Source organism: Homo sapiens, chromosome 11 (assembly GCF_000001405.40).
Source record: "Homo sapiens chromosome 11, GRCh38.p14 Primary Assembly".
Lineage (NCBI taxonomy): Eukaryota > Metazoa > Chordata > Mammalia > Primates > Hominidae > Homo > Homo sapiens.
Genome location: NC_000011.10, coordinates 133,540,746 through 133,555,831, shown reverse-complemented (window position 1 = coordinate 133,555,831; position 15,086 = coordinate 133,540,746). Strand labels below are relative to the sequence as shown.

General features: G+C 48.2%; 5 annotated features.

The window, feature by feature from the left end:
- Positions 380-970: an enhancer, noted in NCBI's record as "H3K27ac-H3K4me1 hESC enhancer chr11:133424757-133425347 (GRCh37/hg19 assembly coordinates)". NCBI's record gives its function as "activates a minimal SCP1, AML or CMV promoter by ChIP-STARR-seq in naive H9 embryonic stem cells {active_cell/tissue: H9 hESC(naive)}" and the evidence as "EXISTENCE:reporter gene assay evidence [ECO:0000049][PMID:30033119]".
- Positions 971-1,562: an enhancer, noted in NCBI's record as "H3K27ac-H3K4me1 hESC enhancer chr11:133424165-133424756 (GRCh37/hg19 assembly coordinates)". NCBI's record gives its function as "activates a minimal SCP1, AML or CMV promoter by ChIP-STARR-seq in naive H9 embryonic stem cells {active_cell/tissue: H9 hESC(naive)}" and the evidence as "EXISTENCE:reporter gene assay evidence [ECO:0000049][PMID:30033119]".
- Positions 9,295-10,213: an enhancer, noted in NCBI's record as "H3K27ac-H3K4me1 hESC enhancer chr11:133415514-133416432 (GRCh37/hg19 assembly coordinates)". NCBI's record gives its function as "activates a minimal SCP1, AML or CMV promoter by ChIP-STARR-seq in naive H9 embryonic stem cells {active_cell/tissue: H9 hESC(naive)}" and the evidence as "EXISTENCE:reporter gene assay evidence [ECO:0000049][PMID:30033119]".
- Positions 14,091-14,662: an enhancer, noted in NCBI's record as "NANOG-H3K27ac-H3K4me1 hESC enhancer chr11:133411065-133411636 (GRCh37/hg19 assembly coordinates)". NCBI's record gives its function as "activates a minimal SCP1, AML or CMV promoter by ChIP-STARR-seq in naive H9 embryonic stem cells {active_cell/tissue: H9 hESC(naive)}" and the evidence as "EXISTENCE:reporter gene assay evidence [ECO:0000049][PMID:30033119]".
- Positions 14,124-14,418: an enhancer, noted in NCBI's record as "tiled region #715; K562 Activating non-DNase unmatched - State 13:Ctcf, and HepG2 Activating non-DNase unmatched - State 22:ReprW". NCBI's record gives its function as "activates a minimal TATA promoter and a strong SV40 promoter by Sharpr-MPRA in K562 cells, with weaker activity in HepG2 cells {active_cell/tissue: K562 | HepG2}" and the evidence as "EXISTENCE:reporter gene assay evidence [ECO:0000049][PMID:27701403]".

Sequence of the window (15,086 nt, the reverse complement as noted above, 5' to 3'; positions counted from 1 at the left end):
TAGTCTATATTTCTTCATAAGAGTCAATTACCTACTTTAGGAAGTCATAAACACAAGTGCCAGTCAGGTGACATGAGTGCGTGCAGGGCTGCAGAGGAGGCTGGAGAAAGGGGAAACTGAGGAGCGCTTTCTTCCAAAGGGGGCAGCTGCTTCCCAGAGCAGGCAGATTGTTGCTGGGCAGAAATACACATCCAATGATGCCAGCTCTCATGGTTTTTCAAGAGAAACTGGGTTTTATGTGAAATCTTTGAGTTTTAAATGTTAGCAACTAACTCGAATAATTAAAAAAAAAGTTGCAGTGCCAACGATGCTCTTCTCTGGCTGGACTGTCCAGAGCAACAGCAGTTAGTGTTCTGAGAGAAAGGTTTGTGTGAACTCCTAAAGATGCACGTGAAGACTGTGGCAGAAACGTCCACGGTTATCAAATAGCTCTCTCATCACTGAAGAATGCCTTTGTTTTGGAGACAGAAAGGGAAACTCAAATACTTGTCATTTGCTTTCTTCTCTTTGCTATTGCATAGCACTTGGCAGTATTCGGGGAAAAAAAAACACTCAAATAAACAACACTGATTTTTCTTTGAATATAGAAATCCCAGAGCACGCCCACTGGAGACTTGGACTAGGTCTGACCGTTTTTTTCTGTACCTCCTGACACCTAAGCCAAAATGAGCTACAACGCTCTAAATTCTCCTTTGCAGAAGCAAGTGAAGGCCTAAGGCTAAGAGGCATGGCTGTCCCTGGACAGAGATCTCCTCCTACAGCAGCTCTCTCCAACCTCCCTGTGCTTTGACTCTGAGGACCCTGCCACCTCCTGCCCCATTCTCTCTCCTGAGTAACGCTGCTGCAAGGAGCATGTGGGGTGGGGGAGCTGCCTTCAGGGCCGTGCGCCTTCTGTGCCCATTCCCTGACTCTGGCCATCACTGAATATGCCTGTGCCTGGCTGCTGCAGTCTGAGGGAGGGGACACACTGGATCTTGAAAATTTTAAAGTACAGTTGATGTTACCTTCCTTAGAAGATGAAAGGGCATGGGCCACTCTGAGTGCTGGAGCTCCCTGGAGGATGGGGTGGGGTGGGGGAGGCGTGCTTCCCCCCGGGCCCTGCAGTGCTGGCAGGCTGCCCTCGCCAGGCCGTTGATGGTGCCCACCAGCCAAGGGCTATAAATACAGTCACATTTCCCACACACTGTATTTATGTTTCAGAAAATGTCTGCGTTGCATACGTAATGTAGGAGATATAATTATAATATTTCAAAACTGGCCAAATTTCGTGAAATATAAAATAACAGATGGCACCACACAATATTGGTGCGGTGTGCTTCATTTAAATCATAACTGGGGCCTGAAAATGTTCCCATTTCGTGCAGGGTGGTGACGAGAGTGTGTGCTGGGAGGAGGGGGCGGGGTGGTTCCCCTTCTCTGTCCTCTCCAAGCTTTTCTTTCCAAGGAAAGCGGAGTTATCGCGCTAGCGCTATTCGTTCCCGGTAGCCTCGAGGCCGGCCTTGCTAATCTAACCATTGTTTCCTTCCCAGTGTTTCCTTTATCTGGGGAAAAGGAAGTTTGACTTGGAAACTCAAGCTATGGCTTGGACGTTGACAGCCTATCAGATATTAGGCCCCAGTTTTGTGGGTGGCATTGACCCCTCCCAGGTGTCTATTATTCATTAACAACCAAGAAGCTGTTGTTAAAATTTCAAACCTCCAGATACATGTTCTTCTCTTTATCTTCAGCAGTAGCCGTGACACCGGCTGCTCCCACACAGGCATGGGCTGTGCAACATGGAGAATTGGCAGATGGTGCCTGCTTTGTTTTGACCCATTGCTTGTTCTCCACCTTCATCCAAAGCCGAAACAGTCTGAGATGTCACCAGTTCTCAAAAGGTCCTTGGGACACTGGAGTTCAAGTGTGAAATTAGGACACCCTCAAGCCTTGTCTAGAAGCAAGGTTATACTAAGAGACAGCCACACGGTCTCTGCTGCTCAGATCTCCTCAGACCAAACCAAATGGCTCATTGCTCAGATCGATCTGGGTTCATATACACACTTATACACAATCCACATTCCCCAAGCAGTTGCATTTGTTTCTTTTTTCATCCTAATTGCCCTTCTTATCTCACTGAAGAAACCATAATGTTTAGCAGTAAGTTTGCAGATCCCTAAATTGTTCATGAACAATACAGTCATAATGGGCCATGGATGCTGGTTCCCGGCTCTGCTGCCTGGTATGTGAAGTGCTCTGTAACTCAGCTTTTACTGTGTCGAAGGCGGCAGAATCAGCCCCACCTGGGCTGAAATAATCAGTAGGTATCTGCATTTACCCTTTGAAGGGAATTTATTTCCATAGCTCCTGCCTATCACAGATAATTGGGAATCTAAATGTGAGAAAATCATTGATCTTTGGGCAGAACAACATTCAGTGATTGAGGATAACAAATTTCAGCTTCACGGAAGAAACAGCACTGAAGAAAAAGCCATCCTAAAGGGCAGTAAGTTCCCCATCAATGGAGGTATCCAAGTAAGACCTGGGTGGCCACTGGGAAATGATGGCATGGTGGAAGGCATTCCAGAGCCTTGCTTCTCAGAGTGTGGTTCCCAGAACCAGCGGCATCAGTATCAGCTGGAAGCTCCCTGGGGATGCAGATGCTCAGGCCTTGCCTAAGATCCACAGAGCCAGGATCCGCATTTTGGCCAGATCCCTTGGGGGTTTGTATGCATGTTAATGTGTGGAGCACTGCCGGATCGGAGTCCTCATGTACTCATGTTTCTGAGTGAGCTGTTCCAGGTGTATGTGGTTTATCACAAGCCTAGGACTGGCTGTGGCGCTCAGCACCCTCTGAATTCTTACACAGAAAGACCACGGACAAGGAAAGTCTGAGGAGCTGAGGAGGCTCCCCTGACTCCTTCCCTCCTTCATGCTTTTAAGACTGTGGAATTGGGAAGTGGCCCTTTTCTTGGCCTGCTGTCCACTCCACTCCCAACTTGCTGAGGGTGCTGAAATTCACACTGTGGGTTATTCGTTTGAGCTTGAGCATTGAGAGGTCTCATGAAAACGATAGCATCTTAAGTAGATGCAGTAATGCCTTAAGCCGTTATTACCAATTAAGCTATTAATGTTAATTAGTGTATCAATTTGCTATCAAAGAGCAGGTCTTATCATCTTCACATCCCCACTACTCACCATGTTGCCTGAGATACATTATTAGATAATTTATTCTCCATGTATAGCTTTTTCCAAAAAAAGGATTTGGGGTGGCGTGGCCTGGTCCAGTAAATATATGTTAAACCAGAATGGTTCAGAATCTATGGGAGTTAGTCAAGGTACAGGTGGGTAAAAGGATTCTTCGCAGGGAAATTTCTGAGGATGAGGCATCCCAGGGAGCTCTGGACAGCCAGGGGCAGCTGCAGAAAGACAGAACTTATGGTACCTCTTCCACGATGTGCACAGAGAAGACTTGTGACCCTTATACAGAACACACTCTTTGCCTCTTGCCCTTGTGACAGTGGACACTCCAGAACTTGCATGATATGTGCCCAGGCTTACCGATGCAGATGTGCTATGAGGAAGTGGCTAAGAGCATGGGCCCCGGACCCAGGAGAATCCTGGCTATGTCTATTCCTAGTGCAGTAATGGCCTTGGGAAAGTTGCTCAACGTTTTTAATCCTGTACGTCTTTGCCTGTGAAATGAGGATAAGAGTAGGACCATCCAACAGGGTTGTGAGGATGGAATGATGGAACACGCTGTGCTTTGCACAGTGCCCAGCACATAGTAAGTGGTTAGCAAGTAGTAAACGTTGTTGCTGTTGCCATTGTTGTCATTGTTTTGCTAGGGCAAGCTATTTCAACTCGCTTTTGAATATAATCCCACATTCAGACTCAGAATTTCACAGATCATTTTACGACTTTTTAACAGCACCTAAAGATGTATCCTGATCCTGACTTCTTCTCTGGTTGACTTGTGTGCTCCTTGCTGCAGACGTCACTATCATCTCTTCTTTTGTAGATACAGATAGTTTCCTGGGCAACTTTCATTTGCATAAGGGTATGGGAGATCCATATTGCTTTATAAGAAAAAGACAAATCTAGAGGTATTTCATTCAATCTTCACTGTCATATGATTGTCAAATATGCTCTCCAAAGAAGTCTTCAACCATGAGGACAAAATACTAAAGATGGAACTAAGTGAAATAAGTTATTACCAAGTTCCTTATCCATTCTGCAGGCAGAACTCCTCCTACATTTAAACAAACCCATGTGAAGGAAAACTAGACCGAAAGACTAAGGATGACTCCTTTTTCTTAATTTTTTTTTTCTAGGAAGGTTAATTTGTTGATGAGGATACACAAGAATGTCCAGGATATCCTTTCATCTTCCCATGTCCTCATGCTGAGCTGCTTCGGAGGAAAGGTTTACATATCTTTCAACTTTCTCTAAAAAACAAGAACCTGGGGTACAAGGAAATAGGGTTTCGTGCCTTAGGCTGGGTGTGCTGAGGGCATTCACTAGTTTTCCCACGAATGTTCTTTCATTCCAGGATCCCATCCAGGATACCATATTGCATTTAGTCATCATGTCTCCTTAGTATCTTCTGAACTGTGTCCAACACAGAAATCCAATTTTGTCAACATTTCACCACAAGCCGGGGAAGGATGCTGCCCGTTTCTCAGCTATTTTACAATCACTATTGAGTTCCTACTGTGTGAGACAAGGACAAGTTTACCAGCTGGGGATGGTTATGGAGAGGTGCAGAAATAGTTACTATACCTTGTGACACCTACTGTAACAGGAAATATACGAGGCACTATAATATCCCTGAAAATAAATGGATGATTCTTGCCAGGAAGATACAACAGCCCAATTCATATTTTCTGGTAGAGGGTTCATTGGGATGAACCTCGTGGTCAAATGAATCAATTGAATTGGGATGTCCATTTATGTAAGAGATTGTGTTTCAACACAGTTCAGAAAGAAAAAAAAACGCCCATGAGCATCGCTCCTATGAACCGATGATTAACAGAGAGTGTTGGAGGGTTACATTCATAGAGCTCGGCTTTTCCAGTCCAGCTGTGAAATGGAGGTGTGGGGTCTGCTTGAGACAGATCTGGGTTGGGGTCTGGAGTGGTAAGTGGCCCCCCAGTCTTTCTCTGTCTCTTCATAGCCGGTATTCTTGGAAAGTTGTCTATGTGTTTGTCCTCTCTCCTTTCTTCACCTTCTACTCATCTTCCAACCCACAGGAGGTTAGCTTCTACTCCCTTACTGCTACAAAGGAGTTTTTTCTAAGGCCATTAATGCCCTCCCTGACAATCAGGTAACAGAAGAAAGTTAACACTCATCGTAGCCAGTTGCTGCATTGTCCATCACTCCCTCCTCATGAAGGCCCTCTCTTCTCCTGGATTTTGTAACATGACCCTCTCTTAATCTGCTCCCACTTTTCTCTCTGCTCATTCCTGGCAAGTATTTTTTAGTCAAGCCATTGAAAAGATAAGACTCAGTTCTAGGTTTCCTTATTCCTGTATATGTTTCCCAAGATCATCTCATTTTTTGACATTGTGGCTGGCATCAATTACTGTAGAGCTTAAAGAGTACAATTCATCATTTCTCTCTCCCCACCGGCTTCTGAAAGAGCTGAGAAACACCAAGTCAAACAGGCATCAAACTATCAATCTTATTACTAGTAAGGCTGAACTGGAGAATGCAGTCTTGATTCAAGTCCAAAATGAGCTTCTCATTTAACAGCCTCCTTTCTCCCAGTTGATCTCATTCATTTGGCCACAGGCAAAATAATTTGTCAACTGTAGCTGTAGGCCTCCCTCTGCAGAGCCAGGGCCTGCCAGTGGCTTATCACCCAGAGGAGGAAGGAACAGAAAGGAGGACACACATGAACTCCAGATAGCCCTTTTAAGGGGAGAAAGGCAGCGAGAAAGAGGGAGAGAGGGCCAGATGGAGGGAGCAGGGCGGGAGACACAAAACGAATAAATGTGTGTGAGCAGAGCCTGGTAATACATTAACCCTGCCTAGTGGAGAAACAAGGACTCAGACATGTCAGACCTTTGTCATCTCTCTAATTAGAGAAATCAATCTTATTCCTGTGGGGGAAGAGCAGTGGGAAGCAAAGGACAGACAGCAGCTTCTTAATATTTTTCCTGAGAAGGCAAAAGTCTCTATTACCTGAACCTGAAGAAACTTGGAGAGAGGGAGTGACGACTCCTTCAATTGCTGCTTATGCCACGCAGCTTACAAAGTCTTGGCCTGTGTTGAGTTATTACTGTGTGCCAGGCACTATGCTCATGGCTTCGTGTCCATGGTCTCAGATCTTCATGTCAACTCTGAGGTTGGGGGGTGGGAATTGTTAAGGAAATTAAGCTTGGAGAGTTTCAGGTCACACCGACTGTCGGGAATGGATACAGGATTGGAGGCCAGGCAGTCTGACTCTAGAGCAATGAGCTGTTGTGATGTGTTGTGATGCTGCTTCCCCAGCAGAACCCATGACTGCACTCTTCAGCCAGGTCTGAGTTCACTGTGTCCTTTCTCATTCATTGACACTATGTCCGTGCATCTGTGCAGAAACAGAACCAGGAATCGAGGGGTCAGATTTGGAAATTCTGCTGCCCCTGTTCCCATCACCACCAAATTCTGTGGCTTGTGTTTCCTAAAACTCTACAGTCCGGTAGTGGGTGTCCGTGCCCATTGCCATCATCTAGTGCTTTAGACAAAGCTGCTCTTGTTCATGCCTGGACTGATGCAGTGCACTTCCGACTGTCCCCGCCCCATCCATGTCTGCTCCTTTCCAATTCATTCTACACATTGCACCCAGAATGCTCATGCACACTTCCTTCCCCAAACTTATAAATCATCACTAGTTCTCCCTCAGTGTCAGGATGGAGACAACGCTGCTCAGCAGAGCCTGTGGTCTCCCTAGGATTTGGCCTTCCTCTGCTCCTCCACCCTCACCAGCCCTGGCCACCTGGGCCTTCTTTCAGTTCCTTAAATGGGCCCTGGTCATTTCCCGCACGTGCATCCCCCTAACCTGAATTACTTTCATTCATCCCTGAGATCTCAGATGAAATCTCTCCTCCTGAGGGAAGGCTTCCCTGGCCTGTTAAACCAGGTTCAGCCTCCCGCTTCTCCTCTCTTAATACAGTGCCCCTCCATTTCGGGTAATCGTCACGGTGATAATTCCTGTCTATGTGCATGATTATTTAACAAAAGTCTCTACTTCCCTGTGGACTTTAAATTCAGGGTCCAGAGGCCTTGTCTGGTGTTACCGTCTTGTATCTCAAGTGTCTAGTATAGAGTCTAACCAGAATATTCTCAATAAATGCCATTGGCTCCTCTTATGATGACGGTGATGCCTAACATCAACTGAATACTTTTGCATGCCAGACACTGTTCTCAGTGCTTCTTAACACATGTTGCCATCCTTTCTCACACTGGCATGAGGAGGTAGTTACTTTCTTTATCCCCATTGTATCGATGAGGAGACTGAAGATAGCAGACACCGAGGCGTGCTGCCTGGAGGGACTGAGTGTCAGAGCCAGATCCCAAACCCAGGTCTGTTTGGATGCTTGCCATGAGGCTCTGCTGCCTCGGAAGCATCCATTGCTGGACTGTTTATCTGAGAGCTGGAAAGAGAAGAAATCAAAATCTTAGTTATCTGTGAAATGGCCTAACCCCCTATTGCATATATGTTGGGTGTCTTCGTCACTTGACTGAGACAAAAGTTATTTGTGACTGTGTCAAATGTAAGTTTCCATATTTCTGATTTTTTAAAGACTGGAAGAGGGCTGAGAAAAACCAGACCAAGAACCAGAGCCAAGAATAAAGTGCCCTGGGGCATGCCGCAGGGAGTAGAGAGCATGGGTGTGCAGGGATGCAGGCAGGAGCGGGCGGACAAGGCAAATCAAGACATCAAGGAGGAAGGAGTCTAACGGCAGGGCCAGGGAGTTGGAAGAGCCCTCCGTGTGGTTGCATGCAAGCCCACACTCTGGAAGGAAACTTCGTATGGGTAGGGCAGGCTGCAGAAAGAGTTTGACGAAGAGTTTCCTCAAGTGACACCCTGAGAAGCAGTCAGCTGGAGGTCAGTGTGGGGGTGTAGAGACCTTTCCACCTGGCATGCGATCCAGGAAACTTCCATGTGGGAATCTTCGGGATCCGCTTGAGAATAAGACTTGCTAGAAATCAATACGTCAGGTTGTTGCTGGACCAGTAATGACAACAGTGGCCCTTTATTGAGCTCCTAAGCGCTGTGCTGAGTGCTTTACAGACTTTCTCTCACTTACTCCTCATGGCAGCACTGTGGGATGAACATTCTTATCTTAATTCATCAGGTAAGGAAATAGGGACTCAGAGAGGGGAGGGCAGCTGTCTAAGGTTACACAGCAGGATTCTGACTCAGGCCTATCTGATCTCAAAGTCTCTTCACTCTCTGAATTCTGCCTGTTGGAGTATGGCTTGTGGCCTACACCACAAAAGTGATTTTGTAGGGACCCTTGATGTTCATTCATTCATTCACGCATCTCTACGTTCATTCCATACATATTTACTGAATTCCTCCTGGAGACTGAGGCTGCAGTGAAGAACAGCAGTGCTGAGAAGGCCCTGGCCACAGATGCAAGAAACAAAAGTGACGATCCTCAAGCCAACACAGGTTTCCTGTTTACTAGTGTCCCCAGTGGGCGGTGATAGCACAGGTTGTGACACTTTTTTCCAGAAAAGTGGCACAAGGTAAGGAGCCTGCACAAGGGAAGGAGGCCGCACAAGGTGAGGAGGCTGCACAAGGGGGAGGAGGCTGCACAGAGGGACGAGGCTGCACAGGGGGAGAAGGCCACACTGGGGCAGGAGGCTGCACAGGGGGAGGAGGCCACACTGAAGTAGGAGGCCACACTGAAGGAGGAGGCCGCACAGGGGCAGGAGGCCACATAGGGGGAGGAGGCCACACTGGGGGCAGAGGCCACACAGGGGGAGGAGGTTGTGCTAAAGGAGGAGGCTGCACAGGGGGAGGAGGCCACACAGGGGGAGGAGGCCGCACTGGGGCAGGAGGTCGCACATGGGGAAGAGGCCACACTGAAGGAGGAGGCCACACGGGGAGGAGGCCATATTGAAGGAGGAGGCTGTACAGGGGGAGGAGGCTACACAGGGGGAGGAGGCCACAATGAAGAAGGAGGCTACACAGGGCGAGGAGGCCACACAGGGGAAGGAGGCCACACTGAAGGAGGGGGCCACACAGGGGGAGGAGGCCGCACTGGGGGCAGAGGCCACACTGGGGCAGGAGGTCGCACATGGGGCTGGAGGCCACATTGAAGGAGAAGGCCACACAGGGGAAGGAAGCCACACAAGGGGAGGAGGCCATACTGAAGGAGGAAGCTGCACAGGGGGAGGAGGCCACACAGGGGGAGGAAGCTGCACAGGGGGAGGAGGCCATACTGAAGGAGGAGGCTGCACAGGGGGAGGAGGCTGCACAGGGGAGGAGGCCGCACAGGAGGAGGAGGCTGCACAGGGGGAGGAGGCCACGCTGAAGGAGGAGGCTGCACAGGGGGAGGAGGCCACACAGGGAGGAGGCCACACAGGGGGAGGAGGCTGCACAGGGGAGGAGGCCACGCTGAAGGAGGAGGCTGCACAGGGGAGGAGGCCGCACAGGAGGAGGAGGCTGCACAGGGGGAGGAGGCTGCACAGGGGGAGGAGGCTGCACAGGGGAAGGAGGCTGCACACGGGAGGAGGCCACGCTGAAGGAGGAGGCTGCACAGGGGAGGAGGCCGCACAGGAGGAGGAGGCTGCACAGGGGGAGGAGGCTGCACAGGGGAAGGAGGCTGCACAGGGGAGGAGGCCACGCTGAAGGAGGAGGCTGCACAGGGGGAGGAGGCTGCACAGGGGGAGGAGGCTGCACAGGGGAAGGAGGCCATGCTGAAGGAGGAGGCCACACAGGGGAGGAGGCCGCACAGGGGGAGGAGGCTGCACTGTGGGAAGAGGCTGCACAGGGGAAGGAGGCCATACAAGGTGGGGTGAGGGGCCTGCATGAGTCAGGAGCCTGCTGTGGTCCCTTTTCACTCTGAGATCAGAGAACGGGCGATACCCTGTATGTCATCACCAGCTGATGTTTCTGTCTGTGGTCCACGGAAACCAAGGGCTCTTGACACAGATTAGCCCCTGTGCTCCGGGCTGTTCCCTGGCCTCTATGGGGAGGAGGGGCCTCACTTACCAACATGGCTTCTTGCTTCCGAATGCCTTGTTCTCCCAAAGCCAAAATCGGTACTCAGTCCTGCTCCCTTTCCTTCTGTGGAACCAGCTGCTTCACTACCCCCCACTCCCTCCCTCTCTCATTTCTCTCCATCCTGGTGGGTAAAGGGCCTTTTCTTTGTACTGTCATGCAAATGTGTGAGTCTCTTCCACAAAGTGTGTACTTAAGAAGGGGGCGAGGGAGCATCATGCAAAACGAGGTAAGCAGGTTTTGGTGGTTGTTTTTAAAACAGTTTTCTCTCCTGCTTGAATATGTCACTGAAGAATATTACTCTTTCAGTTTGCATTTGTGTCTTGGTAAATGGTCTCAGTGTCATTATGCAGATCCTCCCTAGGGACCTCCTCCCTCCCCCACCATTACTAATGCCCACTGGCCTGCTTTGGAGGAGGAACCAAAACCACACTTTCTGGCCCCTCTACTTGTAGGTGCCTGTGAAGGTCACACATGACTTTTTCACCTACTCCTGCTCTTCCAGGTTTCTGAGAACATGAACATCCCTCTCTGGAGGACCATATTATCTCCAACTGATTATAGAAATGTAATGAAGGCTTCATGTGCCACACACTGAGATATCCAGATGGGTAAAATTGAGCCCTTGCAAAATGATCTCTTCACTATTTCTCCTACTTGGGGAGGAAGTTGGATAATTTCTAAGTCTCTGGTGATGTTTTCTTGGGTGAGAATAAAAGCATTCTCAGATTCTCAGTGTTTTAACTTATAGTAATATGAGAGAGAGAGAGAGAGAGAGAGAGAGAGAGAGAGAGAGAGAGAGAGAGACACACTACACTCTAGGTGCAGGGGAGGCCTGGGAGGGTGGGTTGTATATATGAATGAAGTGGGCCCTGGGGCTGCAGTAGCACAGAGGAGCTTCTTTGCCTAGAAGAGCAGCTAGAATTCCAGACGATTTTTATTAGATGGAATGAAGAATCAGCTTGATTAAGTCATCTGATTTTTCAAGAAAACCTAAAAATCTGGATGACGACTTGTTGGCAACATACTTTATCTAAAAATACTGCTGGATATAGAATACGTGTCCTGGGGTCAAATCCAGCTCCCAGGCTGCCAGTTTGCCACTGCTGGCATATGCTGTTCCAGAGGATAGACACTGAAAGCTGTGAATGTGGGTTGTGAGCCTCCTTCCATGGGAGGTGGTTGGGGAGGTTACTAAAGCCTTAATGAAAGTGTCAGGGAAGAAATATTTCCTCTTTGCTATCAGAGATCAGAGTGCAGGAGCCATGAGTTCTTGATGCTCCAATGTCATGGCCAAAATCTTGGCCTGGAAGATGTAGTGACAAGTGTGCCCTTTGGCACGGCTGGACCTACCGCTGTTTGCCATTTCTGGCTCTGTATTCCTCAGCTCCGAACCCTTGGCACCTGCAGATCCTGGCAAAGGCTCCATGAGCTAATTTCCACCTTAAAATGCTGTCATGGGTCGAATGTGGTGGCTCACGCGTGTAATCCCAATGCTTTTGAAGACTGAGGCAGGAGCATTGCTTGAACCCAGGAGTTTTGAGGCTGCTATAAGATATAATTGCACCACTGCACTTCAGCCTGGGTGACAGAGTGAGGCCCTATCTCAAAAAAAAAAAAAATGCTTTAGGTTGGTGCTGGGGAAAGGGTGCTGTGTAAATAAAGGCCCATGGTGCTGTGGAACCTATGGGTACACTCTCCTCTGAGCACGCTGGAACCTTTCAGGACTCTTGTCTTAGTGGGTCTCAGGGCTGAGCTGTCATGGCAGGTAGTTCCTAAGAGATGCATGGTCCTCACAGTTGGTGAGTTCCTAAGTGGGTCTCAGGTGTTCAGTGTAGCTTCTTGGGGACACGGAGACACTGTCCAGAGGCGATTTTGTGTGTGTGTCACCCCCTGACCTTTTGTTTTAGTATTTTGCCACCATATTAATGAAGTTATTTTCTCTAGCCACACATTTTGGATAAAAATATATGCAGTTAAGTAGGCTCTGGAAATATTAATGTCAGGCAACAAGAGAGTTGCCTGGAAAGGAGGCCGAGGGTCACTGAAACTTGTTGATTTAATCATCCTCCTTGCTCCAGGGTTCCTAGGACCACGGGCAAATTCAAAATCTTTGTTGGTGGTGGAAGTAATGAGAGACCCATGTAGTTTATGTTAAAGGTAACAGAAGGAACACAAGTCCATTCAAAACCCTGCTCCAAGCTCTACCAGAACAAAGTCCAGGTAACCTGCTCCTCAGGCTCTGAGTTCTCATTTTGTATCAGCATCTGTGTTCCAGGCAGGATAAAGATTTGGGAGAGCATTGTTCATTCCAGGGAGTACCCAGCATGCCCCCCCTCAGCAAAAAAGCAAAAGAGCAAAAAGGCTTTCTTCACCACTTCCCCTCGTGAGAATTGCAGTTCAATAGTATAGACTTCTGAGCAGGGGCATCTTTAGGTTAACATCCTAACTCGCAGGTCTTTGGTTTAACTGAACTTTGGAGGCCTCAGAGGCTCTTACATCCTTCAAGGAAATATTGAAAACAGAAGCAAGTGTGTCAAACACAGGTACCTAGTGAAGCTTGAAGAATCTAATTTTGCAGGAGGGCATCTTCACATAAGTGCTGCGGTTTTGTGTAAGGTAAGTCTGGGAGGGCAATCAGATTCATTTCAATCTTGAGCTCTCCACAATTTCCAGTCCAAATACATGTAGCTGGAGTTTGTTTTTTTCTCTGTCATTACTGCTCGGTCCAGTGTTTCCATTTTAAAAGGTGCGCATGTGGACTGAACCAAAACCGGGATTATTTAAAATACTGTGCAGGCTGATTTCATTTAAATGGCACCACTATCTTTGGCTAATAGTGCATTCTTCGTGAAATACGCAGATGTGGCTGTGCCTAGAGAATGTCATATCCACTACCGCAACGATGATATGGCCACGTGCAGGGGCATTCCTACTTTCCAAAGGCTTTTTTGCTGGTCATTTGGCTGCCTCCCTCCTTTCTCCAGGGACCGTGGAACACTGCATCAGGGCCATCTCTGCCTTCTGCAGGGCTCAAGCTTCTGTGCACACTCAGCTTCTCTTTGCGCACAATGGATGCTCAGTAATGGTTACTGATTGAATGCTTAGTAAATATTACTTGAAAATAAGCTAAAATGGTCCTAGATTAGATGCTGACTTAGTTTTTGCCATAGAAAGATGCATATTGAGTTGAAGTAATAAACCCTTTGATTCCTTGGCCACTTTTGCTACATAGAGAATTAGCTCCCGGCCCCCAAAGATGCCAGGGACAAGGAAAAGCTTGTCCTGCATCTCTGTGCAGCTTTGGAATTAATTTTGGGTGTAAATCCTTAAAAAAAAAAGTGTGCATTCCCTGTGCACTAAATGTTGGTCTCTGGGAAGAGAAGAATGTGGAGTTAAGTACCTCATGGCTAGAAAGCGTTAGAACCTCAGTTGTAACCGAGGTGTATGATTCCTAGTTGTATGCTTCTTAATGACTTGGGCTTTATTTTTACATTGGCACAAACAGCTAGCACAACCATGGAAGTCATTGTCACTTAGTCTCTGGGGCCAGCCTTTGCTAACAACAAAGTCTCCTGACTCTCCTGAGCCCCTATCCTGCAAGAAAACTTATTTTGGACTGTAGCCTCACACAAAGGGTCAGTGTCAGCAATCTGTGAGCACAGACATGCAGGAGGGAGGAAGCCTGAGTGGCTCCCTCGGTGCCAGCCACCTCCTCCGAGCGAGCGTGGGCCCGGGCTAGGTGGAACCTAGGCAGTAGCTGGTGTGATGGAGTGGCTGGAGGGGTTGGAGGCAGAAGGAGATGCAGTTAAAATTCTCCGCCTTGCTTGAACATGTCCTCCTGGAAGCCATGAAGTTAGGGAATGTGTGACTGTGTGTTTTTCTTTTTCTTCACCCCCTCCCCGCCTTCCCTCTTTTTCTTCCACCAAATGCAAATCAATAGATGTGTATTCACAGCCTAACAAGATGTCAAGGAGAGAAGAGTAGCCTTTTCATTCAGAGAAGAGTAGGGAGAGGCCCCTCCACACAGGGAGAAAAGGAGGACAGGAAATGGGCGGGGAAAGCAAAAGGGAGGAGAGAGAAAGGGAAAACCAAAGTCAGCCACAAGACAGAGGGTGGCGCTCCGGGCAGGAGTCTGGGAGTGCTGGCCCTGCCTGACACTTACTTGTGGGTGGGCGTCCTTCCGCATTCCTGCTCTTCACTTTGGAAAAGGGCTAATGACTTTTTCCCCCTTACATAGGCTATTTCAGTTCTTGCTTGAGAGACGTTCTGGGGGAAAACTTGCATACGAAGGTGAAAATCTGGTGCCATTTTCTTCAATACTTAGTTAAAGTGGGATCAGGCATATCTAAATAGAAGGCTTGTGATGAGGCGAGCTTGGTTATTGCACTGTCTCCAGCACATCTAGCCAGTGTTTGGGCTGTGTGTGAGCTAAGGCAATGCTTATGTGATTAGTGACAGCAACAGTGTTTGAAAGGAGCATTCATTGTCGGGGCTGGCTGGTAGGAAAGGCCTAAGTATCAGGATATATGTATGCCGGTCCTGGCTTAATCCTTGATTTGCTAGGATTTGGGTCAGATCTTTTCATCTCAGTTCCTCCTTATTTTTCTATCTGCGAAGTGGGGCTAATTTGTTCCTTCTGTGCTCCTTCACACGGGGGTGAAGCAAATAAATGACTTCATGAAAGTGCATGTTTGACGCACACTTCAGCAGTAGTCACTCATATTTCAGTGACTCCTGTTTGTGCAGGACTTTGCTTTCTATTGGAAGCAGAGCTTGCTATTCCAGGTGTGGTCACAGTTCTGTCTGTCATCTTTCCTGCTTCATGGCTACTAAGTGCATGAACTTGTATGCAGTCAGTTATGGAGGGCTGATCTCCAGTGTCTTC